The sequence below is a fragment of the Homo sapiens genome, chromosome 4 (assembly GCF_000001405.40).
Source record: "Homo sapiens chromosome 4, GRCh38.p14 Primary Assembly".
NCBI classification, from domain to species: Eukaryota; Metazoa; Chordata; class Mammalia; order Primates; family Hominidae; genus Homo; species Homo sapiens.
In genome coordinates, this window is record NC_000004.12 from 73,479,389 (window position 1) to 73,504,065 (window position 24,677).

At 36.2% G+C, this 24,677-nt stretch overlaps 1 protein-coding gene across 4 annotated transcripts, besides 1 other annotated feature; it reads left to right on the forward strand.

The window, feature by feature from the left end:
- The first annotated feature begins 2,356 nt into the window (after positions 1 to 2,356).
- On the forward strand, positions 2,357 to 24,613 carry AFM (afamin). 4 transcript variants are annotated; one of them, NM_001133.2, is made up of 15 exons: positions 2,357 to 2,475; positions 4,553 to 4,601; positions 4,870 to 5,002; positions 6,474 to 6,685; positions 7,579 to 7,711; positions 8,336 to 8,433; positions 9,242 to 9,371; positions 12,484 to 12,698; positions 15,912 to 16,044; positions 18,264 to 18,361; positions 19,726 to 19,858; positions 20,616 to 20,839; positions 22,399 to 22,531; positions 23,662 to 23,722; positions 24,488 to 24,613. In NM_001133.2, exons 1-14 carry the CDS (start codon positions 2,388 to 2,390, stop codon positions 23,680 to 23,682), a joined length of 1,800 nt encoding a protein of 599 aa, NP_001124.1. In that variant the 5' UTR covers positions 2,357 to 2,387; the 3' UTR covers positions 23,683 to 23,722; positions 24,488 to 24,613. The 4 variants fall into 4 exon arrangements, with proteins under 4 accessions (NP_001124.1, XP_016863331.1, XP_016863332.1 ...); XM_017007842.3 differs by lacking the exons at positions 23,662 to 23,722; positions 24,488 to 24,613 and having other exon boundaries at positions 20,794 to 20,839; positions 22,399 to 22,513; XM_017007843.3 differs by lacking the exons at positions 20,616 to 20,839; positions 22,399 to 22,531; positions 23,662 to 23,722; positions 24,488 to 24,613 and having other exon boundaries at positions 18,264 to 18,305.
- Positions 15,118 to 15,619: an enhancer, noted in NCBI's record as "NANOG hESC enhancer chr4:74360223-74360724 (GRCh37/hg19 assembly coordinates)". NCBI's record gives its function as "activates a minimal SCP1, AML or CMV promoter by ChIP-STARR-seq in naive H9 embryonic stem cells {active_cell/tissue: H9 hESC(naive)}" and the evidence as "EXISTENCE:reporter gene assay evidence [ECO:0000049][PMID:30033119]".
- Positions 24,614 to 24,677: the final 64 nt, after the last annotated feature.

Here is a 24,677-nt window from a genome sequence, read left to right on the forward strand (position 1 = left end):
ACAGTTTTGGTCTTTTTAATCATCTGACAAAAGGCAATTAGAACAGAGGCAACAATGAGAGGACAGCACAATTAGGACATTTCACTAACTGCAAGCAAAGATGCTGACCATACTGTTACATAATTCTGTTTGGAGACAAAATCGATCTCTCAGTCTCCCTGTCTGTCTCTCTTTTATCTCTCTCATTCCCTTTCTTTGGTTTAGTGAGTCTGTCCACCCTGCCATTTTCTACACATCACATATAAAATTTTGTATTCTACTGTTTTACCAAAAGTCATTTAGTAAATATTTCCTCTGATATGACATATTTTTAATATTCATTAGATTTAAAGACAAATAAGAATCCATAGAGTGACTATATCATTGTTTATGTATTCACCTGCAAAGATGTGTTTTGCACTTTTAAATTAATGAGTGACTTGTGAAGTGATATTTTGAAAGTATAAATATGCTATTCCTCAATAATTATTCACCTATGACTTTATCATTCTTTCATGAAACTGGCCTAAATCAGCTATTACTATGGTGGTTACAAATGTTTATGCTTTGTTTCTAACTACAATTATTAGTTGGCATTCTTCTGTAGAGAAGAACTTTCCTTTCCCAATTTTTAATTTTGTATTGGTATAGGTTCATGAATTTAAAAAAATTCCTGTGTTATAATATATTCCAGTAATTATTTATTTTAATTATCAAGTTCTCATCGGCTTCCATTGCATTTAAAAAACTCTTTTTACTTTAAAGGCCTGGTGTGGTGGCTCATGCCTGTAATCCCAGCACTTTGGGAGGCTGAGGTGGACGGATCACAGGGTCTGGAGATCAAGACCATCCTGGCTAACACAGTAAAACCCCATCTCAACTAAAAATACAAAAAATATCCTGGCATGGTGGGGTGCACCTGTAATCCCAGCTACTCAGGAAGCTGTAGTAGGAGAATCGCTTGGACCCGGGAGGCAGAGGTTGCAGTGAGACACGATCACGCCACTGCACTCCAGCCTGGGTGACAGAGTGAGACTGTCTCAAAAAAAAAGGTAATAAAAAATATATATATTTAAGGCGTGCAAGATGATGTTTTGAATACATATACATAGTGACTTGAGTACTACAGCCAAGCTAATCAACGCATCCGTCTCTTGACGTATTTTATTTATTTATTTATTTTTGAGACAGAGTCTTGCTCTGTCCCCCAAGCTGGAGTGCAGTGCGCGATCTCGGCTCACTGCAACCTCTGCCTCCCAGGTTTAAGTGATTCTCATGCCTCAGTCACCTGAGTAGCTGGGATTACAGGCGCATGCCACCACTCCCAGCTAATTTTTGTAGAGACAGGGTTTTGCCATGTTGGCGCAGGTTGGTCTTGACCTCCTGGCCTCAAGAGATCCACCTGCCTCGGCTTCCCAAAGTGCTGGCATTACAGGTGTGAGCCACCACGCCCAGCCAGTTATCTATTTTTTTTTCTTTTAAGACAGTGTGAATTCTTAAGACCTAGTCTCTTAGCATATTCTAAGCATACAATACAGTATTATTAGCTGTAGTCCATGTGATGCATTTGAACTTACTCATTCTACGTAACTGAAACTTTGCACCCTTTGACAAGCATCTCCCCATTTCCTCTACCTCCTGCCCTTGATAACCACCATTTTATGCTCTGTTTCTAGTTTGATTTTTTAGATTCCACATATAAGTAGGATTATGCAGTGCTTTTCTTTCTGTGTCTGATTTATTTCACTTAACATGATGTTCTCCAGGTTCATCCACATATTCTCATATGGCAGAATTTCCTTCTTTTTAAAGATTAAATAGTATTCCATTGTGTGTGTGTGTGTGTGTGTGTGCGTGTGAGATTTATTTATTTATTTAGTTTTTTATATGTTGACTGACAGGTTGTTTTCATATTTTGGCTATTGTGAATAATGAGGTAATAAACACCGAAGTGCAGGTATATCTTCTTAATTTTTTATTTTTAATTTTTGTGAGTACATAGTAGGCGTACATATTTATATATCTTTGAGATACTGATTTCACTTCCTTTGGATATATATGCATAAGAGAGATTGCTTGATTATATCTGTTCTGGCCCTTTGTTCCTTTAACATTTGCAGTATTTTAAGTTTTTTTTTGGTTGTCTATTTGATTAAGTATTGTGCATACTTAGCCTGTGGACTTTTGTTCCAACTCAGTAGATTTTTTCCAGCGAAACACAAAGGTAATTTTTTTTTCTGGTTAATATTTAGCAAGAATTCTGCAGAGTGATCAAAAAAATCAAATACTCAGTATTTCAGAAATAGATTAAATAGGTTACTTTTTTACTGATAATGTGAAAGAATGATATAAAAACTTGATTTTCCTCAACAACATTACTTTCTTTTGTAAATGTGGTTTCTACAAAGATGAAACTACTAAAACTTACAGGTTTTATTTTTTTCTTGTTTTTTTTGACTGAATCCCTAACCCTGCCCACACAACCTCGGGATATAGGTAAGAAATTTACTTGTATATCAGCTAAAGCATGACCAGTTAGGATAATTTCTATTTTTAAAATTTTGTTTTCTTTCAAGTTAATTCTTTACTTGCTTTTTTCACCCTCTCACTAATTTACATAGGCTAACCAGTTATCCAAAACTAACCTTTTCAGAATTTTTATTTTGATGGTAATTTTTATATTACCAAGTCTATATGAAGAAAGAGTTGTCACATCTGAAGAATAATCAGCAGTCTATGACAGGACAGAAAGTGTTGCTGGGAGATACATTTGGATTTTAATGTTGGTATTTCTTGCATATATGTATAGTTTATGGTAACAGTGGAACAATAGATGTTAACTGGGATTTTTCTGGAACCTTTGGTTGTCCAACATATTTCCCAACTATATCTTTATGGAATGCAGAACCTAGTTCCTCCTTCAACTGTACAGTTTGAACATCCCTCCTGAGCCTGGCCAAGGCCATCTCAGTCTGTAGGAAGGGATGACTTTTTTTATTTCTTCCATCCAAAGGGGAAATATTTTGAACCTCATATGTCTAGAGGAGGTGTCTTTTTCTAATCCTTTTTGGCCTAGAAGGAGCTCCTTTCTTTGACTTGAACAAATGTGCCCTAAGCATGGCAGTGGCCCTGAAGGCATGGATCGTGTCTTACGTGTCTTACTCAATTTGACATGCCCCTACAATACCAGCTAGTGAAGACTGGTCATTTCTGAGTTTTCCTGCTCCTTTTCCCTCGTAACAACCTGTTTCAAAATCTTGATTTTTTGCCTCTTTAATATCTTTTGTATCTATATTTTCCTTTTCATTTCCATTACTCCTACCAAAATTTAGATCTTGCTGATTTCTCAGTGTGACAGTTGCAAAGTCTCCTATGGCCTTCTTACTTTGTCCCATCCACCCTTCTTTTGCCCATTTATTTGACAATAGTTCTTTCTACCTTTTTCTATTTGTCTGGCACTGTGGAAAGTCCCATGACATTACATATACCACTACCTGACTCGTATTTCTTAGTGTATAGAAATGATCAGATTACTATCCTATATAAACATTTTCCAGGGCTCTCCATGTCTTCCAAATGAAGCCCATACTCCTTAGCTTTATATACAAGACTCCTATAATCTGGGCCCAGGTTCTTTCTATCCTAGGTACCATTATTCCTCTTTGTGACCCACTTTCTCATCAAAATAGATTGACTTTCCCTAAATACTTCTCAAGATTTCTTAATGCATTTATTCACATCATTCTCTCTCCACACAGACAGACAGGGTTTTTCATTTTTCCGTCAGCTGAATCTCTTACATTTACTCATGCTCAACTCATATCTCACTCCTCCTATAATCCTTTTTTTTCTTTCTTTCTCACCCAGGATTCATAAAGCATTCCCAACTTAATCCCATTCTAAATTAGATTATTGTCACATGCACGAGTAACTTCTATTAGAGAGCAGCTTAGGAACCTGATGTCAAGGGGAGATATTTTAGTCATTGTTGATTGCTTCACAGGGTCCAGCACAACACTTTGCAAAAAATAAATGTAGCTTATGTGAACAAACATAAATATGCTCCAATTAGTGTATGCTCATTGGGAGGGAATCCATGATTTTAGGTGGATCTGGAGATGACCTAAATAGCTGTGACTGAGTAGCGCTAAAAACTATGCTGACCACCAGCATGCTACAGCATCTCTCATCAGGCTCTGTTATGGCATTGAATCAGCCATTAGTTAATCTTCATATCACTTCTCTAGTCATAAATGATAGACATTTAGCATGGTAATGTATTTGACATTTCTATCTGGGGAGCCATCAATGGCAAATTTAAAGTCTAGTCAGATTAAGATTTATTTAGGTCAATTCAATTTGGTAAATATTTCTTGAACACATAATCAACAATGACTAAGATTTCCTATTTTGTTCACATGACTTATTTGTTTCTTGTTAAATATGCAAAATTATCTCCTGTCATCAGTGGTCTATTTTGTATTTTATACACTTAAATGCCATGTATAGTTATTTATTTGAAAAATGTTAGAAAACCATGCTATGTAATAACCTAAATATTCTTGCTTTTCAGAGAACTTCAATAGTACTCAAAAATTTATAGAAGATAATATTGAATACATGTGAGTTGTGCTAAATACTTTTTGATGATGATTTTTAAAATGATATATTCTAGAAATGTTAATGCTTCTCAAAAGTAATTTAACTAAATAGAAGCCATATCCAAGAAGACAACTTTAATTATAAAATTCAGGCAAAGAAGTTGTAAAATTTATAGCCATTACAATAGATAATTTCCTGAGGCTAGTCAGGATGTTCCTGTGACTTTTTCTTGACCATAAATGGAAACTCTGCAACTGATCTTTGTATACCCCATGTGAACTGTTGCAGCACCATCATTGCATTTGCTCAGTATGTTCAGGAAGCAACCTTTGAAGAAATGGAAAAGCTGGTGAAAGACATGGTAGAATACAAAGACAGATGTATGGCTGACAAGACGCTCCCAGAGTGTTCAAAATTACCTGTAAGTAAATTGCTTGTGTTTCTTTTCCTTTTATCTTATGTCTTTCTTTCTCTTTCTTTCTTTCTTTCTTTCTTTCTTTCTTTCTTTCTTTCTTTCTTTCTTTCTTTCTTTCTTTCATTCTTTCTTTCTTCTTTCTTTCTTTCTTTCCTTCTTTTTTTTTTCTTGAAACAGAGTCTCGCTCTGTCACCCAGGCTGGAGTGCAGTGGCAATCTTGGCTCACTGCAACCTCCACTTCCTGGGTTCAGGCAATTCTCATGCCTCAGTCTCCCTAGTAGCTGGGATCACAGGCATGCACCACCATGCCCAGCTAATTTTTTTGTATTTTTAGTAGAGATGAGGTTTTGCCATGTTGACCAGCCTGGTCTCAAACTCCTGACCCCAAGTGATCCTCCCAACTTGGCCTCCCAAAGTGTTGGGATTGCAGGCGTGAGCCACTGTGCCCTGCCAATTGCTTGTGTTTCTTAAACACACAAGATTTTTTGCCCAACACTGAGAAAATTTCTGGCTTGAAAATATGAAATGAAAGATGTTCTGTGCGCAGCATTTTCATTTTGCTTAATTTTGGTATTTAGAACAAGGTACTTTCCTTGGAAAAGATACTAATTCTGTATTTTGATGCACAGAAGGAGATTGCTGTGTATTTGCAGTATGTATACAGTATGCCCTATATGTTCAGGCAGAAGAGGAAGCCATAGCTTGAAACTGCACATGAAATTACAGAGGTACCTCCTTAGCTGCCTCTCTCAATATGTATTCTATTGTTACATCCCTTTTCTGGGCCTCCTCCAAGTAGAATCACTATCTGCATCTCCAAAAAACTACTACTAAACACTACTTCTAAACACTCTACCAATACATTAACATACCAGCATGTCATCACCTTGGGAGGTGAGTAGAAAAGCCTGGTGGAAGGGAAATGTAGGCAGCAAGGGAAGAGTAAGAGGTGGAAGTGTCTTGTGACAAGACAGAGGAACAAAGATTCTGAAAGTGCAGGATGATTGTCAAGGGTTTGGGTAAAAATGCTTTGATTTGGCACACCTGTTCTCCCAGCTATTTAGGACACTTTGGCTGGAGGATCACTTGAGCCCAGGAGTTCGAATCTAGCCTGCACAACATATCAAGATCCCATTCCAAAGAAGAAGCAGAAAACAAGGAGAAGGAGAAGGAGGAGAAGGAGAAGGAGAAAGAGAAGGAGAAGGAGAAGAGGAAGAGGAAGAGGAAGAGGAAGAAGAAGAAGAAAAAGAAGAGGAAGAAGAAGAAGAAGGGGAGGAGGAGGAGGAGGAGGAGGTGGAAGAGAAGGAGGGGGGGAAGGGAAGGAGAAGGGGAAGGGGAAGGGGAAGGAGAGGAGTAGGAGAAAGAGAAGGAGCTCTGTTGGTAATGGTGGGAAAATTAGTCATTGTGTTTTCTCAGTGAGTACAGAAGCTTTACTTTACCATGACTAAAAATTGTCCTTTTCTTCTCTGTTGTATAGAATAATGTTTTACAGGAAAAAATATGTGCTATGGAGGGGCTGCCACAAAAGCATAATTTCTCACACTGCTGCAGTAAGGTTGATGCTCAAAGAAGACTCTGTTTCTTCTATAACAAGAAATCTGATGTGGGATTTCTGCCTCCTTTCCCTACCCTGGATCCCGAAGAGAAATGCCAGGCTTATGAAAGTAACAGAGAATCCCTTTTAAATCAGTAAGTTTAATCTTAGTAAAAAATGATCCAGTTGAAGAATTAGTCTTAGGCTGAATCTAATATCTATCTCAAATAAATATGGCTGGGTTCATTAATTTATTGATTAATTGTTTCATTCATTCAAAACATACTGTGTGTCAGATACTGTGCTCAGTGTTCAGGATATAACTATGATCAAGATATGGACCCTGCTTACAAGACCATTATATTAACGAATTTTATCTTCTAATTGGTAAGTCCTAGAGCAGAGGTGTGTACATGGTGTTAAATTGGTAGGATGCACAGTAGAGGAAATAATATACTCTTCCCAAGGGGAAGTTGCTGTTTTCACCTCAGGCAGACATTCAATTACAGGATGTTTAGCAAAACATCTGTTTTTAATATAGTGCTGTCATTGCAGAAACAGACTTTTTCTGGAAGGTTGGTATGCTCCTTGAAATCTAAATCTAAATCACAAATTTATCTGAAAAAAAGTAAACAGGACCCCTGAATCTCAGATAGAGTGTGTATAGATAGCTGTTCTTTGAACATGGAAGAGAGAACTGCTGACCAGCTGGTAGCATGTGGATGGAAGGACAATAGCCACAGTTCAGTGTTTGGGATTAGAATTGCAATCATTATTCCTACTTTGGAGTTAGCAACTTCAATGATAAGGACTTCAAAGGACTCTTATCGGGAACTGGTTAATGCTGCCTTATATTGAAGTTTTCTATAACTGGAAACCTTTCTTCCTTTTACCTTGTTTTACAACTTGCTCTTCTTGTCTCTTTCTATTTTTTCTTTTCCTTCCCATCTTACCCTCCCTTCCCTTCCCTTCCCTTCCCTTGTCTACATTCATTGCTTCCTGTTTCTTCCCTCACCCGTCTTCTCTCTTTCATTTTTATTTTTTATAGCTTTTTATATGAAGTTGCCAGAAGGAACCCATTTGTCTTCGCCCCTACACTTCTAACTGTTGCTGTTCATTTTGAGGAGGTGGCCAAATCATGTTGTGAAGAACAAAACAAAGTCAACTGCCTTCAAACAAGGGTGGGTATAGCATTTGTTCCATGAAGAGGATAAGAAATCACTCAATACCACAGATCCAGACCCTGACTTATATTATAGCAAAAGGCTTGCTTACCATATATGATGTTCTCTTGTCACATTCAGTGATTTTCAAACCATTGGTCACCAGGTGCTGATCTAAATATTCTCTTTACTTGAGACTCTTGAATGACAGCCAGTCATTTTCAGGGTCTCTCTTCCAGCTTTGTTTTCTTTGTAAATTGGAAGGAAGCCCTGGTGAGTGAATGCCCAGGGTGAATGATGACATTTTATCTTTTATCTTTGACAATTTGTAGTCTTTTGACTACAAACAACATGGTATAATCTCAGTAGGGATGGCCAAGCTCACAGCATGCTGCCCCACCAAGGGAGCACTTATGCACCTTTTTACCAAGTGCAATTCAATCATCAGCAAGACTGGTCCTACCTTTGTGATGTGCCGTAAGTGCATATTTCTTTTAATATGTGTGTTTACTGAAATAAAAATCCTGTAGATTTTCTGTCTCTGAACAAATTTTGTAATAGTTTGAATGAAATATGACTAAAAAATAAGAGAATAGTGAGATTTTGCTATTGTTTCAAAAGAATTTTCTCTTTCTTCTTCAGGCAATACCTGTCACACAATATTTAAAAGCATTTTCTTCTTATCAAAAACATGTCTGTGGGGCACTTTTGAAATTTGGAACCAAAGTTGTACACTTTATGTGAGTTTTATACTATATGTCTTGTCTCTGCTTGCATTTCCTTGTCTGTGTCCCATTTTTGTTAAATGGTTGATAACTTTTTATTTATATTCTTCCTAGTACCTAGGGGCTTTGGGGTGAGTCTGAGCCTACTTAGACAGCTCAGGACCAGGACATTAGGTTGAGATGAGAGAAGTTTTGGGAGGTGAGGAGACCCAAAAGAGAATGGTGGCTGGGTCTGAGACATATTTAGGTTAATTGAGAATCTGAACTGCTCTGGATGTTTCAAACCAGGGTTATAAAACCCACAAGTGCTTTAGAAATAATTCATCCATTGGTCTTTGACTTTAACAATGAGGAGATAAATTTTATCTCTAGTGCTTGCAAAGATAAATTTTATCTCTAGTGCTCACCCTAATCAATTAGTAATGGGTGTTAAGGCAATGTCTTGAGAAAAATTTTGAGATTTCAGGTAGATCAGCAGGAAAGAGTTCTATCATGAATTATCTATGCCTGCCATGAGCTTACAATAGGAAGTGGTGGCCTTACACAGCATGTCTTACTATAATAATTATGGAAGAAAGCACACCTCTCAGTTTTGTTTTTTTTCACATCCAGGACTTTGGGGCTCTTAAAATATCACCCTAAGATTTTCAAAGTGATCATGTAGGCTGTGCACCAACTATTTGATAAAGACTTCTATAAAAACAACAACAACAGCAATGGTGGCAATACTTTTTGTAGCTATTCATATCATATTAGCAAATTACTCCCACTTGTTCTACTTGCTGTTCAAATTATTTTTGTGGTTTATCAATTCTCTTTCCAGATATATTGCGATACTCAGTCAAAAATTCCCCAAGATTGAATTTAAGGAGCTTATTTCTCTTGTAGAAGATGTTTCTTCCAACTATGATGGATGCTGTGAAGGGGATGTTGTGCAGTGCATCCGTGACACGGTGAATATTCTCTAAAACCAAGTTAAAATAGTGATTTTTGGCAATTATCATTTTTTTATTCTCAAGTTGCCCTGATATGTGGTTACTTTGCCACAATGAAATCAGAATGTGATTTAACTTTTGAATGAAAGCATAAAATGAAATATAAACATTTTTATAAATAAACCTTGGGATTTTTTATACTTGGAATTTTTAAAGATTACTGAATAGATTGTATATTATATGGCTAAATGTCTTGATGTAAAACTTCAGAAATTTCAAATTTTTCATAGTTCATTTAGTACAGATTGAAGTTTTCTCTTACATTATAAATCCTCTTTTAGAGAGGTTGGAAACAAATAGTAAATTTCAAGGAATGACTTGTTAACATTATGTTTTTAAGAGCTGATTTCCCTGAGCTTCCTTACGCTATTCAGGTATAGTCCTTCCAAATAAGTGGATACATTAATTTAACTTTTCTTTTCCCTTTCTCTTTTGGTTCCTTTTTCCTTACCTTCTCCCTTCCCTTTTCCTGTTCCCTCCCTTTTCCCTTTCATTTCTTTCCACGTTCCCTTTCCTTTCTGGCCTTTAACTGACAATTAAAAATTGTATATTCTCATGGTATACAACATGATATATATGTATGTGTATATATAACATGTTATATATGCATATATATTAATGTATACATGCACACACATTGTGGAATGTCTAAATCAAACTATTTAAGATATGCATTACCTCACATACTTATTTTTTTGTGGTGAGAATACTCCAAATCTTAGCAATTTTAAAGTACTCAATATAGTGGTATGAATTCATCATTGAATCACTATGATGTACAAGAGATGTCTTGAATGTATTCCTTCTGTCCTAATGAAATTTTGTGTCCTTTAACCAACATCTCCCCAATTCCCAGCCTCTAGAAATCTTTAAAGTGATTTTCCAAGGAAAAGTATTGGTACGAATATTGTTGGCATAGTTTGAATTGTTCATGCATTCTGTTCTCACTCATAAGTGGGAGTTGAACAATGAGAACACATGGACACAGGGAGGGGAACAACACAGGCCAGGGCCTGTTGGGTTGAGATTGGGTGCTGAAAGGAGAGCATCAAAGTAGCTCATGCATGCGGGGCTTAAAACCTAGGTGATAAGTTGACAGGTGCAGCAAATCTCCATGGCACACGTATACCTATGTAACAAGCCTGTACATTCTGCACATCTGCCCATGTATCCCGGAACTTAAAGTGAAAAAAAATTGCTCATGCATTCAAAGGTAATATAATTTTATTAAAAAAATAACTGAGTATGATAGGTTGCACCTGTAATTGCAGCTACTCAGGACTCAGGAAGCTAAGGAGGGAGGCTTGCTTGAGTCCAGGAGTTCGAGGATACAGTACAGTGAGCTATAATCCCAACACCCTCAGCAACAGAATGAAACCTTATTTCAAAAAAAAAAAAAAAAGAAAGAAAGAAAGATTCAACTTTTAGGCTTACAGTGAAGATAGCATGTCAATTAAATAACTTGAATTTTAGGGTATTGAGAAATGTTTATTTCAAACAATGGACAACAGATGTTCCCAATAATTATTTTTGCTCCTAACTGTACCCAAGTTAAATCAATCTCCTTTGCGATTTATTTTTGTATTGCTTGATTGTTCTTGGTGATGTAGGATTTTGTTTGTTTGTTTGTTTTTTGAGACGGAGTCTGGCTCTGTCGCCCAGGCTGGAGTGCAGTGACAATGATCTCGGCTCACTGCAAGCTCCGCCTCCTGGGTTCACGCCATTCTCCTGCCTCAGCCTCCTGAGTAGCTGGGACTACAGGTGTCTGCCACCACACCCCGCTAATGTTTTTTGTATTTTTAGTAGAGACGGGGTTTCACTGTATTAGCCAGGATGTATGTTTTATAATGTGAAATCTAAGGTACTGAATTAGGATATAATTATAGATTTTCTGTGAAATTTGAGGCTTAGGTTAAGGGATTATGTCTCAAATTTCCTTCTTTTTAATGTCTTTTTGGAGAAATAAGAGGAATTGAATTACAGTTAACTGAAAATAGAAGTAACTTCCCAGAGGATAAGAGATGCTCTGCCTAGAACAATGCTGGCATTACATGAGATGTAAATGTCTTTTTGAAGATTGGCTTCCTGGTTCTATGTGGTTTGTTGGAAACATGGTGCCGATCCCCATTTTATTTTTTACCTCAGTCCTGAGCTTCATCTTATTCCTTATCCTCCATGTTCACCAGAAGATTCGTCAGTGGAAATAGCTTGAGTAAAGTCATAAAGGCTTGAAATAGTCTAGTGTGTTGCTGTAACTCAACATAATTCAAGTGAGGCTGAAACGGAGAGGGGAAATAATGTGCAGTCTCATTCTAGAGTCTGGAAGGGCCCAGAACAGTTTTTAAAAATTATTCAACTAATGTGTAAATAAGATAACCCCACCCTCTCTCTAATTCCCAACTCTTATGTAGAGGTTAGAACTGGGGCAATTGGTAGGGATGGGGACAGAATAAAGTTGTCCATTTGAGCAGTATTTGCTAACCTGAACAGCTTCAAATGAATGATATCCATTAGAAAATGATATCCATTAGAAAATGATACCATGAGTGGAATAGCTTCTTATATTTGATGAATCGTCATCTGGTAGTTGCTGTAGTTCACTCACTTGTCATTCTTTCATTCATTTATCAAATATTTATTTTGATTTTGCCATGTGCTCAGCCACAAGAGAAGACCAGGATTATAGATATTATAGTAACATGTCTTTGGTGGCCTCCACTGAAAACACAAGTGGACTCTTATGGAAAAGAAACAACATTTAGAATATAAGATGTAAATATATCAGTGTAGGAGGGTTATTTAAAAGACTAATGCTTAATAATGGATGTGAATCTATAGTACAGCCTATTTTTTCATAATTATATCATCTTAAATCCTGAGAAGTTTTAATGTAAAACTTCATGTGCATTAAGTAAATCCAAAATTTAATTCAAACAAATATTATCTAGCAAATTAATTGATGAAGTGATTCCAGATGCTGCGATCATGACTGGTTTTGCATGCCATCATTCCATAATGGAAGAAAACCCAGCCTGAAAGTAAAATAATCTCTCATTCTTATTTGGTACAGAGCAAGGTTATGAACCATATTTGTTCAAAACAAGATTCTATCTCCAGCAAAATCAAAGAGTGCTGTGAAAAGAAAATACCAGAGCGCGGCCAGTGCATAATTAACTCAAACAAAGATGATAGACCAAAGGATTTATCTCTAAGAGAAGGAAAATTTACTGACAGTGAAAATGTGTGTCAAGAACGAGATGCTGACCCAGACACCTTCTTTGCGAAGTAATATAACTCTTTATTGAATTTATAAGGGAAACAGAAAGAAACTTATAAGATTTGACTTTTGTTGCTAATTTAGGTGGAAGGACATGGTACCGTTTATTTCACTAGGTATCATATAATTTTTTTTTAAATCATGGCTATAGAGTGTAGTTTTCACACAATTTTAAGAAAAAATCAACTGTATTATTAAAATAATCGCTAGCATTTATTGAGCACTTAATATATGCCAGTCATGGGACTATATACTTTATACAGATAAACTATTTTAATTCTTACAGCAATCATACAAAATAAGTACAATTTCTCCCAGTTTTTCAGATGAGCAAGCTGAGATACAATGAAGTGAATTGTTCAGATTCACAGCTAAAAAGTGACAGAGTAAGAATTTGACTCCAGGAAGCCTGGCCTAGCAAGTTGCAGGCTTAACTGCTATGCTATGCCATCTACAACTGTTAAGGGGAAGACTAGTGAACTTGGAGCCACAGGGACTATATTTGAGTTCTGGTTGAGTTGCTGGGACAAGTTAACCTTTCTGTGCTTTTTTTTTTTGTCATATATAAAATTCATATAAGAATACTCATTCATCTATAATCCCAGCTAATCAGGAGGCTGAGGCAGAGAATTGCTTGAACCTGGGAGGCAGAGGTTGCCGTGAGCCGAGATCACGCACTGCACTCCAGCCTGGGCGACAGAGTGAGACTGTCTCAAAAAAAAAAAAAAAAAAGAATATTTATTAATTTAAAGTTTATTAGTAATGTAATATAATCCAGGGACTTTACTGTTTTTTTTTTTGTTGTTGTTTGTTTTTTTTATCTCCTGGAAGCCTTCATCTATAGAGAGTATAAAGTGAGAAGAGACAAACATAAATAAATAAGTGCAAAAAATGTTCTTTTATTTCTAATAGCATCCTGTTCTAGGTAATGCAGGGGAACAGAAGAAGAAATGGTCAGTTGTATATAGGGACCCTGGAAAGGCTTAATAGGGAAGTGGTACTTGAAGAAATTTTGGTAATCTAGATAGGTAGAGCATGAATTGAAGTTTATAATGGTTTGTTGTGTATGTGGCTGTGAGTAGGGCATCTGCAGCGAGAGACCAGCATGGTGAGAGGTAGGTGGGGCCAGATCATGCAGGCATGCTAAGTAATGGGATGCCACTGAATGGTTTTAATGGAAGAATGAGGAAGGACAAATTCACTTTCAGTTTTTAGAAACCTCATCTGAAGAAAATCCCAGTTTGGGGCTTGGATAACTGGGTGGGTAGTTTTCCCATTCAATGTGAAAAAGTAGCAGGTTTTGTGAGAAAGATAATATGTTTAAGTATGAGCACATTGACTTTGAGGTACCAGTAGAATAACTAATTGGAACTATCAGAAGAGAATTTTATATGTGAACCTGTAGCTCTGGAAGGGAATCTGGCTTGAAATCTAGGACATAACAACAACTAATGTTTACTGAATACTTACTAAATTTTAAGTGCCTCTCATCTACTAACCAACCAAATTTTAAAAACAACCCTCTGAAGTTAGTATACTTTTATAATCTTTATTTTTCAGATAATAAAACAGGCACAGAGAGGTTAAGTAATTTACCCGAAGTCACACATGTGGTGTGGCCAGGATTCAAATGCAAGCAGTGTGGCTCCAAACTCCTAGTCTTATAACTACTGTCCTCTACGGCTTCTCATGGTTGTGGATATTAAATCAAGTTCAATTAAACAAAATGATAGATTGTACCTGACATATGTGTTTGATAGATAAAAGCCATTTTTATAATCGTCACTATTACAACATAAAAAGTGTTTGAAACATGGGGAGAAATGATAGAGTAACAGTGAGCACACCAAGTCAGAGTGCTCAGTGTTTTAAGGTAGAGTCTTTCTGGATGTGAACATTTTAGGCAAGTCCTCAGTGGCTTCTCCAGCCTAGAGTAAGCTTCCAGGGATTTTTCTTCACAGTATTTTGAGACATGTTTTTAGGTGTGTGTGTGTGTGTGTGTGTGTGTGTTACTCCCCCACTCCCAGAGAAGAAGTCCATGGCTTACATCAGATATTAAGAGGAGCCCTGATTCTCTGAACGTTAAGCACTACTGCCATGGGATATGGGAATATATCTCACAAATGGAATTGAAAAAGCAAATGGGAAGCTGGAGAGATGGTTTCAGAAAAACCAAGATTAATCAAGAAGGTCAAATCCTGAAAAAATAGGGGTGGGGAGGGGATGAAAAGAGTTACCTGGTCATGAAAAACTTGTGAGGTATTGCGCTCACAAAACGTGGAAGATCTGAACTTATTGTGAATGAATAGATGAGTTTTCTTTTTTTTATGAAGACTGTAAATAGCCCAGCTGAGGTACTTCAAGATGACATCTCTGTCTTGAGAAAAGAGTTCGCTTGGTAAAGAATGGAGTAAACATCCCAGGGGACTTAGGGTCAAATTTTATATCTTCCATTGATAGGAAGGTGCTTAACCAGTCTGTGATTTAGTTTCCTCAGTTGTAAAACAGTACATATTTTGGGGACTAAGTGAAGTGAAATGAGAAAGTGTTTATAAAGTCCAGGAAGCACATCTATATCTGTTATGCCCAAAGTTTGATCCAGTGCCTAGCACCTACTAAGGGCTTAATAACTGTTAGCCTTCTTCCTCTCTCTTTCTTTCCAAATCACACCCACCTATGCTCTTGAAGTCCTTGACAGAGGATTTGGAAGCCACTGCCAGTGATTTGGAGCTGAAGGCGTAAACACTCCCATAGTTGGCAAGTGACAGGATGTAGTAATGGGCAAAGCTTGCTCCCTATCTCTCACGAAGACCACATTGTGGGCGGGAAGGAAGCCATATTCCCAGCATGTCAAGTTGGAAATCTGAATGCATCTTCAAACATAATTATAAGCAATATGTATTTTTTAAAGTATATTCACAATTTATTATTTCCAATGTTTTATAGATTAAATCATTCCAATAATTAGTTCCAAATAATTCTACTAATTCTCTCTTCTCAAATAAAAAATATTGTTAATCTAAAACGTACCATGGAAGAGAACTTTTGTAAAATGATCTATAGCCAAAATGTCCTCTTAAATTACTCTGTGACCAAGACAGAGGAGAAAATTAGCTTTTGAAAGCAGAGTCAGTATTAGATCTGACTGGATTACAAAATAGTGGAATTGGGTTTTTTGCTCTTTCTCTAATTTCTAATATACAAAATTTTACACATTGCAGGTTTACTTTTGAATACTCAAGGAGACATCCAGACCTGTCTATACCAGAGCTTTTAAGAATTGTTCAAATATACAAAGATCTCCTGAGAAATTGCTGCAACACAGAAAACCCTCCAGGTTGTTACCGTTACGCGGTAGGTTCCATTGTTGTAGGTTCAGAAAATCAAAAAAGAACAACTAGAAAACACTTAAAAATTGATATCAGAGTTTTGCTGCAGTCTGGGGGTAGAAAATGTGATTGGCTAATCTGAGTCCACTGTAGATTCAGCCTAAGAAGATTATTGGGAAGGCCAATGTCATCAGTTTGGCTGATGCATAATGTTTTGGACTACTAATCCAATGTGTTAATTCAAAAAAGTCTTCCCATTAAACATTTTAAATTTACATTTTTCTTTATGTATTCTGTATTTTATTAAGCCGTATTGGATATTACATGATTTCAAAAGCAATGATTGCTGTAGATGACTAGGAAAATATTCTGTATTTTATTAAGCCATATTGGATTCTTTATGGTTTCAAAAGTAATGATTGATTGTTGTTGATTATTAGGAAAGCAACAAAGGTTACAAAGAACCCTTTTCTGATTCTCCCACTGGGAAATAGCTATAATTAACATTTGTGTTCAACTCTTCAGTACATATACGTATATATACGTGTATTTTAAAAATAAGATTGGCATAATTCCTAGAAAATGTTTGGACCTGTTTTTTTATTTGGTATCATAGAAAACTTTTTTGTTGTTGTTGTTATAAATTGTGCTTCCTTGGTTTCCTGCTGTTGCCACAAAGGGAGCGGCTTAAACCAACAAAAATTTATTCTCTCACAAGAGGCCAGAAGCCTGAAATGAGTCTCATGGGGCTAACATCAGGTGTCAGAAGGGCTGTGTTCCCTCTAGGGAAGCTAGTCCTTGACTCTTCTTGTGTCTAGTATAGAAAACTTTTTACGTCATTAAACAGACTTGAAAATAAACTTCTTTTTAAATGATGGTATCCCATCATAATTATTTAATTTATTTAACTGATTTCCTACTGTGTGTTTGACATTTTGGATGTTTGCTTAGGGTGTTTTTCACTTTGTAAGTGACCCTGAGATGAACGTCTCCTTCCATTTATCTTTATTAATATTTATGGCTTTTTTCTTAGGATGGATTATCAGAAGGAAAATTATTGGATCAAAATATATGAACTTTAAAAAACATTTAACACAAATTGTTGAATTACTGTCAAGAAAGTTGTTTCTGGTGTCTGGCCCCACAACAGTGCTTGGAAATGCTCATTTCAATGTCACTTTTACCAACATTGCACATGGAAATTAACTTTGCTAGATTTATATGTAAATAACAGTGTTTGTGTTTTTAAAACACCTTTATTTGATTTTTAAATTGTTAAATTTTTTCCATATGATTTTAGCTATTTACACATTTTCTGTGAAAAATCTGTTCATGTGTACTACCCATTTTCCTGTTGAAATTAGTGTTTTTCATATAAATTCATATGTATTTCTGAATACATATTAGAGAAATTAATAATTTGACATTTTTTGATTTATTTCTCCTTCCTTTGATATGTGCTACTTTTGCTTTAGCAAAACATTTTTTTTCACTTGCCACAAACACCAGTTTATACCCACTCAAATTTGAGCAATGGAATAAGACTTGGATCCCTGCTCTGTAACTGTCCCTAATGAGGTAGTCTGTTTCTGATCCTTAAATTAATCATAGCGCTAGAAAATTCTCTCTTTTCATGGAGATACAATTTGCTCCACAATAGCTATCCACTGGTGTTTAGTTCTCTGTCTGGTGGCCACTCAGAAGATGTCCAATTTTATGCCACATGAGAGATAGTCCATCAAATATTTGAAGAAAACTGTTGGAGGTTTTAAGTTCCAAATCTAAACAATGAAAAAATCAAAAAGAGCAACATGATTTAAAATGTTCTGTAACAACACTTACTAGCTGGGGTATTCTGGGTAAGTCACTTAATTTCACAAGGCCAGTTGCCTTTACTTAAAAATGGAGATAACAACTGCTCTTGCCACTTCAAAGTGACAACTGAATGTTATTATTTTCAACATACAATTTAAATTCTGTTTTGTAATTTGGAAGGCTCTGAAATATGTACAAGGTGATAATAAAAAAATTTGGACTTTTAAATTTAGCAAGAAATATATTTTTATATACATAATTAAAAAATTAAGTTCTTGCACGTGCTTGTAAAAAGTGCCCTGAATTTAGTGTAATAATGAGAATTTGAAAATACCATAGAAATAAGAAATGCTATTCTACACATTGATGTAAAGCTTATGGTTAAATTTTAGATAAAATGTTTGTAACCATGATTATTCTTATTTTCAGGAAGACAAATTCAATGAGACAACTGAGAAAAGCCTCAAGATGGTACAACAAGAATGTAAACATTTCCAGAATTTGGGGAAGGATGGTTTGAAATACCAGTATGTTGTTTGCACAAGTGGGCTAACACTTGCCACTAGAATTGAATACATAATCCCTCGAAGCGTAAAAAAGTTAGCTGTCAAGTTTTTCAGTTATGGCCGATTCATAAACTCTTGGAAGAATTTTTTTTTAAAGTCAAGAATGCCTATTGAACTGTCACATTAATCTTTTATCAGAAATGAAGCTAAAAATAAAAGAAATACAGGATTCTGGAGACATTGATTCTCTAATGCTTTGGTTTCTGTTTGACATTGGCTTTCTCACTGCCAATCTAGAATCCCTGCATCCTCACCCATTTCAAAGTGGGACACTGCATATTTCAGGTCATTACAGTTTCTTTGGGGAAGAGATAGTTTGCCTTGCCTTGCCTTACGGCTATCTTACCTGAGTTTATAGAAATAACTCAGGATGTGTTTAACACTTTAATATTTAGCTTTTTAGTGCTCTTGTGAGCATTTGTGAATAATATGCAGTTTGGGTTTTTTTCAATTATTATGTCAATGTATTTTATTATCATTATTATTATTGTTATTATTATCATTACTACATATTTTTGAGACAGGGTCTCTCTGTCACCCAGGCTGGAGTGCAGTGGTGTGATCTCAGCTCACTGCAATCTCTGCCTCACAGGCTCCAGTGATCCTCCCACGTCAGCCTCTCAAGTAGCTAGGGCTACAGACGTGAGCCACCATCCCTGGCTGATGTTTGTATTTTTTGGTAGAGATGGCGTTTTGCCATGTTGCACAGGCTGGTCTTGAACTTCTGAGCTCAAGCAATCCAACCCTTCGGACTTTGCTGGGATTACAGGTGTGAGCCACTGCACCTGGCCTCATGCTAATGTATTATTTATTGAAACTAAACATCTTTAAATCAAAATAAAACACAGTTTAAAAATATCTGACTTTCCTATTTCTGCAATTTGGCTGTTAGCTGACAATTCAAACTTAGTTCATTAAAAATCTTAGTTTTCTTCATCTCAGATTATCCTTTTACAACATATATTGATTAAATTCTTTCTTTAAAATATTTTCTAATGATGTAAATTATTTTAAGCAAGATTTTAGATACTAGCCAATGTATTTGCTGTCAAGGAGCTCCTATACTTAAAGATAACACGGGGAGGCAAATCTAAGAGCTTCTGAGACAACCGTGAAATTAGAAAGGAAGCTAAAATAGATATAGGAAGCAGGGTGCAGGAAAACAGGAAGTAAAGACATATTTCTCTACTTTATGAGAGAGCTAAGGTTCATGTTGCACCTATATTGGTTGTCGCTAGCCTTGAAGGGTCTGGGCTTCAGCAGTAATTCAAGGGAAAATGGGTATCTGCTTTCATTCAGAACCAAACAGACAAATGTTCTTTCAGTTACCTCATCAGGCTCACGAAGATAGCTCCCCAACTCTCCACTGAAGAACTGGTGTCTCTTGGCGAGAAAATGGTGACAGCTTTCACTACTTGCTGTACGCTAAGTGAAGAGTTTGCCTGTGTTGATAATTTGGTGAGCATGGCCTGTGTACCAGACTACTCTTTTTTTTTTTTTTTAAAAAAAAGAATATTTGCACTCATTGATTTACCGTGATTATCCATATTCCTTTCTTCACTGTTTTAATATTGTTAAGCAAAAATTGTCAAGTTTTCCTTTTGGCTCACTTTGTGAAAACCCTAAGAAGTAAAACAGAATGTCTTCAATATTTTTGGAGAGTACTTCAAATTATCTTTCTTATTTCTTCATTGTATTAGAAGGGATTTGTTAGGACAAATGATTTAGGAATCATAATATTGTTTCAAAATGATACAGGAAACTTTATAATTTTAAGTAAGGTTACAGATTCTTCCTCTTGGCCCCATTGCTTCATCCAGCAATCAGGCATTGAATACATCTCTTTAGGGCTGGGGTGGAGAGTACCTTGAGGCAGATGCCAGGAGGGGAAGAAACCCCTGTACCACAGTGTTTGATCGCCCCTTTCAGTTGGCTTTTTGCAGCTGTCTGTTTGCAATTGAAAGTTTGTTTATATGCCACCAAGAAATTAATTTGTAGGCATCTAAATTCTTATGGCTTGGATTTTGGTCATAATGCCATTTAGGACCCCAGCTTCTAGTTTTACTTGTATATAGGGATATGTCATGAGTGCATGTGTTTTATGAGTGAGGTTAACAGTGATCTTAGAAAGATCTAAGTATTCATCTAACCATATTTTTAGAAATTCCATTCAAGTTTTAAGATCGTATCTCAGTTGCAACTCTTGTTGGTACAGGCAGATTTAGTTTTTGGAGAGTTATGTGGAGTAAATGAAAATCGAACTATCAACCCTGCTGTGGACCACTGCTGTAAAACAAACTTTGCCTTCAGAAGGCCCTGCTTTGAGAGTTTGAAAGCTGATAAAACATATGTGCCTCCACCTTTCTCTCAAGATTTATTTACCTTTCACGCAGACATGTGTCAATCTCAGAATGAGGAGCTTCAGAGGAAGACAGACAGGTACAAATAATCTCTTCCATTCTTCTTTTTCTTTGGTTTGAAGACACACCATGTATTAGTGAGAAGGTTTATCTAGTGGATATGTCTTTTTGATATCACAATCCTGTTCCTTCCACCAAATTGTCCAGTCTCTTCTATATGGAAAAATACAAGTGCATATTTTTTTTTTGCCATTGTTTATATCTAGCTTGTCTTTTCATTTGAAAGAGACTTGGAATGTCCAAGTCTAACATTACCTTTAGAAAGTTTACAGCAGCCAGCAAAAAGGCTCATAGGCAGGCTGATAATGAATTTCATTTCCTTGAGGGAATGCCCGGAGAATATCATTTAGTGTTTACAAAGGAGAGGCCTAAAGGGCCAGGAAGTTTACTTTCATTTTCTCAATAAATGCTTTAAAATGCCAGGAAATTAGACCTAGTTTTTTGGATTTAGACAGAGTCTGCCTAATGTGTAGTGGAGACAACATTCAGCTACCAAATATGAGGAAATGGAGGTTGTTTTGGACATGAATTTTCTGGAAAGATCAGACGTAGTCATGTATACCATAATACTTGGCATAATAAAGGCCTAATATATGTTTTCATTTTTAAATAGAATAATACTCTTATTATGTGCAATATTCATAGATTCACAGTGCAATACACTCTTGTATTTTCCAGTCCATCCTATTCTAGTCTGGTCTATTTTATTCTTTTTAACTATCCTGTTTTCATTTTAAAAATGAAAGCGAGAAAATGCAAATTTTTGTTAATTCTTAGATCGAAGGATGGGCATACGGGACTTATTACATTTTCCTCTTTGGTGCATTAAAATTTTATTACTTAAAATAATTACTCTAAAAATGTACTCTAAAATGTACTTTTAAGACATCAATGGGTTGCCCCCTGAAGTTTGGAATTCTATAAGTTACTAGAATACTGGAATTCTAGAATTTACTAGAAAATAAGGAAATCATTATTGTCTATGGCTGTTGTCACACTTAATTGTGATAGCTTATTTTTTTAATTGCTCCTTTGACATCATTTTTAATTGACATATAATAGTTGTACATATTTTGGGGGTACATGTGATATTTTGATAACTGCATAAATGTGTAATGATCAAGTCAGGGTAATTGGAATGTCCATCATCTAAAACATTTATCTTTTCTTTGTACTGGGAACATTACAATTCTCCTCTTCTAGCTATTTTGAAATATACAATAAATTACTGTTAACTTTAATTTTCCTACTATACTACTGAATACTAGAACTTATTACTGCTATCTAATTGTATTTTTGTACTCCTTGGCCAACTTCTCGTCATCCCTCTCTTCCTCCTTGTTAATACTTTTTGTATAATTTTGTGTGTGACAAAACCCTTCAAAGAATGTTACTGTGGAAACCATTCTCTAAATTTAATAGGAAAGTTTCAGAAGACCCATTCAAAGTGGTATATTTCAACTCTTTACCCACACCCAAGCTGAGACTCAAGACGTGATTCTGTAACAAGCATTTTGGAGTAGAGACGCTTCAGAAAGAAAGCGTTAATTAATTTTATTTGACATCTTTTGGCCACAGGTTTCTTGTCAACTTAGTGAAGCTGAAGCATGAACTCACAGATGAAGAGCTGCAGTCTTTGTTTACAAATTTCGCAAATGTAGTGGATAAGTGCTGCAAAGCAGAGAGTCCTGAAGTCTGCTTTAATGAAGAGGTAGTTTTATTTCTTTTCTACTGAAATTCAACTGGTTTTCCTGGTCAAATAAAATAAAACAGAACCCTGCAGGACACTGCTTCCTCTCTGCAGTGTCTACCAGGACTACATTTGAGAGCACAATTGCTACACAACTAATATGTAGACATCTCTGAAATACACTTTGAGCAGTGTCTCCTTAGTACAGAAAAAGCTGTCGGAAGACCTGGGTTGTAACCCCAGCAGTCTTGTAAGTCATGCAACTTAAACTGAATGGCAATTAACTATCTTTAAATGAGGATGGTAATAATTATCCCTGAATTACACCTTTGGTTCTTATTTTTTGGTTTTGAACCACTCATTATCTTAATAAGACAGAGTCAAAGCGACTTGCAAAGGAAATCATAAACAGCTCCAAATGGAGCAGAGCAGGAAGGGTATTAGAAAGTGAAGTCTTTCAGGAGTGGCTGTCTCACTTTCCCAGGCCTTGTGCTAACATCCTGCAGTTGAGAATAATGAGGGAGTGGAGGGTAAGGGTAGTCAGGGAGAAAAGGGAGAAATGTCCCTTGCTTGCCCTCGCTCCAGTGAAGGTAGTCTGTAGCCATTTGCTCTGGTTTGAACCTCAGCAACCTGTGAATGTTAGCCCCAATGGATGGCTCCATGGAAATGCCTGTTCACTGTTTTCCAACTTTATTTCTCACTGTTTCTTTTCTAGGAACACTCACTCCACTCCAAACTCACAATTCATGTAAACTCACAGGCAGACAAACTCACACACGTGATTCATTCTGGTTGTGAGCCATCTACTTTTCTGAGTGACACTTAGTTTGTGGAAATTTTTCTGGGGTACATATTACTAGTTTTTAAAAAATATACCTAATTTTAAGTAAAGGATATTAATCAATATCTAGCATTTATCTGAGTGAGTGTGTACATTAGGGCCATGTGAAGGAAAGGATGAATTTTTGGCAGTTGTAAAGAGCCTTTCGGTGTCTATTTTTTCACTAGAAGAAAGAATGTTTACTGTTTCCCTGTACAACGTGGGAATGATTTAATTTTCTTCAAAATTCAGGAAAACATGCTTATCTAAATTTAAACTAGTGTCTTAAATTTTTCTTCCTATGTGTTTTTATTTCCATCCCTCACCTCAGAGTCCAAAAATTGGCAACTGAAGCCAGCTGCTGGAGATATGTAAAGAAAAAAGCACCAAAGGTAATACCCTCTGCCTCATTCAAATGTCAAATGTATTTGTGGCTTATCTGATCTCCTTGCCTTTTCTCCCTCATGCTTCTTTGTCTATTTCTGGTTCATCCTACATGAACAAGAAATGCACATGTAGCTAACAGACCCCGATATTGTTCCTGTGTTTTTCTGGGTATCAGCCACTCCTTATGGGGTGGCAATGCTGCATTTGTGCTTGCCCTTCTCTTGCTGTTCAATCAGTTTTCTAGATAACCAAGAGGCGCTTAAGTCCTCTGCCTTCCTACTCATGTATTCAGCTGTCTGGACCACAAAGGAGGGATGATGGAACCTCTGAATGTTGACAGAAAGAAGAGGGGTAACTCCCTGGGGACTGAGGTGGGCAGACAGACCTCAGTGACCCTTTCCAATAATCTTTTAAGAATATTGCTTTACTGAGATATGATTCACATACAAACCAAGGGTATTGCTACAGCATTTACGTGAACAAAAAGCGATATGTTTGTGATTTCAAAAAGATATATAAAGATGCCCTCCCCTTTGTGGCTTATGTAAGACCTGAAACACAAACTTTAGCAACAAAATGTTGCGTAGATATAGGAGTTATATACAGTGTCAGTGAAGAGAGACCTGGACCTCAACAGAAGGTAGGTTGGGATTTACAAGGGACAAAACACGGTTACCACTAATAGTTTTTTCAAATACTCGACTTTCTATCACCCAACTTTCAACATTTCATGTTTTTTTGATGCATGAAATACTATCTTCTCTTTCCAGGGAAGGCTTCCTATCTGTGTGGTGATGAATCGCATTTCCTGAGAACAAAATAAAAGGATTTTTCTGTAACTGTCACCTGAAATAATACATTGCAGCAAGCAATAAACACAACATTTTGTAAAGTTATTTTTCAGACCGATGTCATAAATCAACCTAATCACAAAATCAAGCAATCATGATTCATTCATTC

Coding starts and splice junctions, on each gene's coding strand:
- AFM (NM_001133.2), top strand. CDS start 2,388: ATGAAACTACTAAAACTTACAGGTTTTATTTTTTTCTTGTTTTTTTTG. Junction 8,434..9,241: donor ACCAAAGTTGTACACTTTAT/GTGAGTTTTATA, acceptor TTCTCTTTCCAG/ATATATTGCGATACTCAGTC. Junction 20,840..22,398: donor CTTCAGAGGAAGACAGACAG/GTACAAATAATC, acceptor TTTTGGCCACAG/GTTTCTTGTCAACTTAGTGA.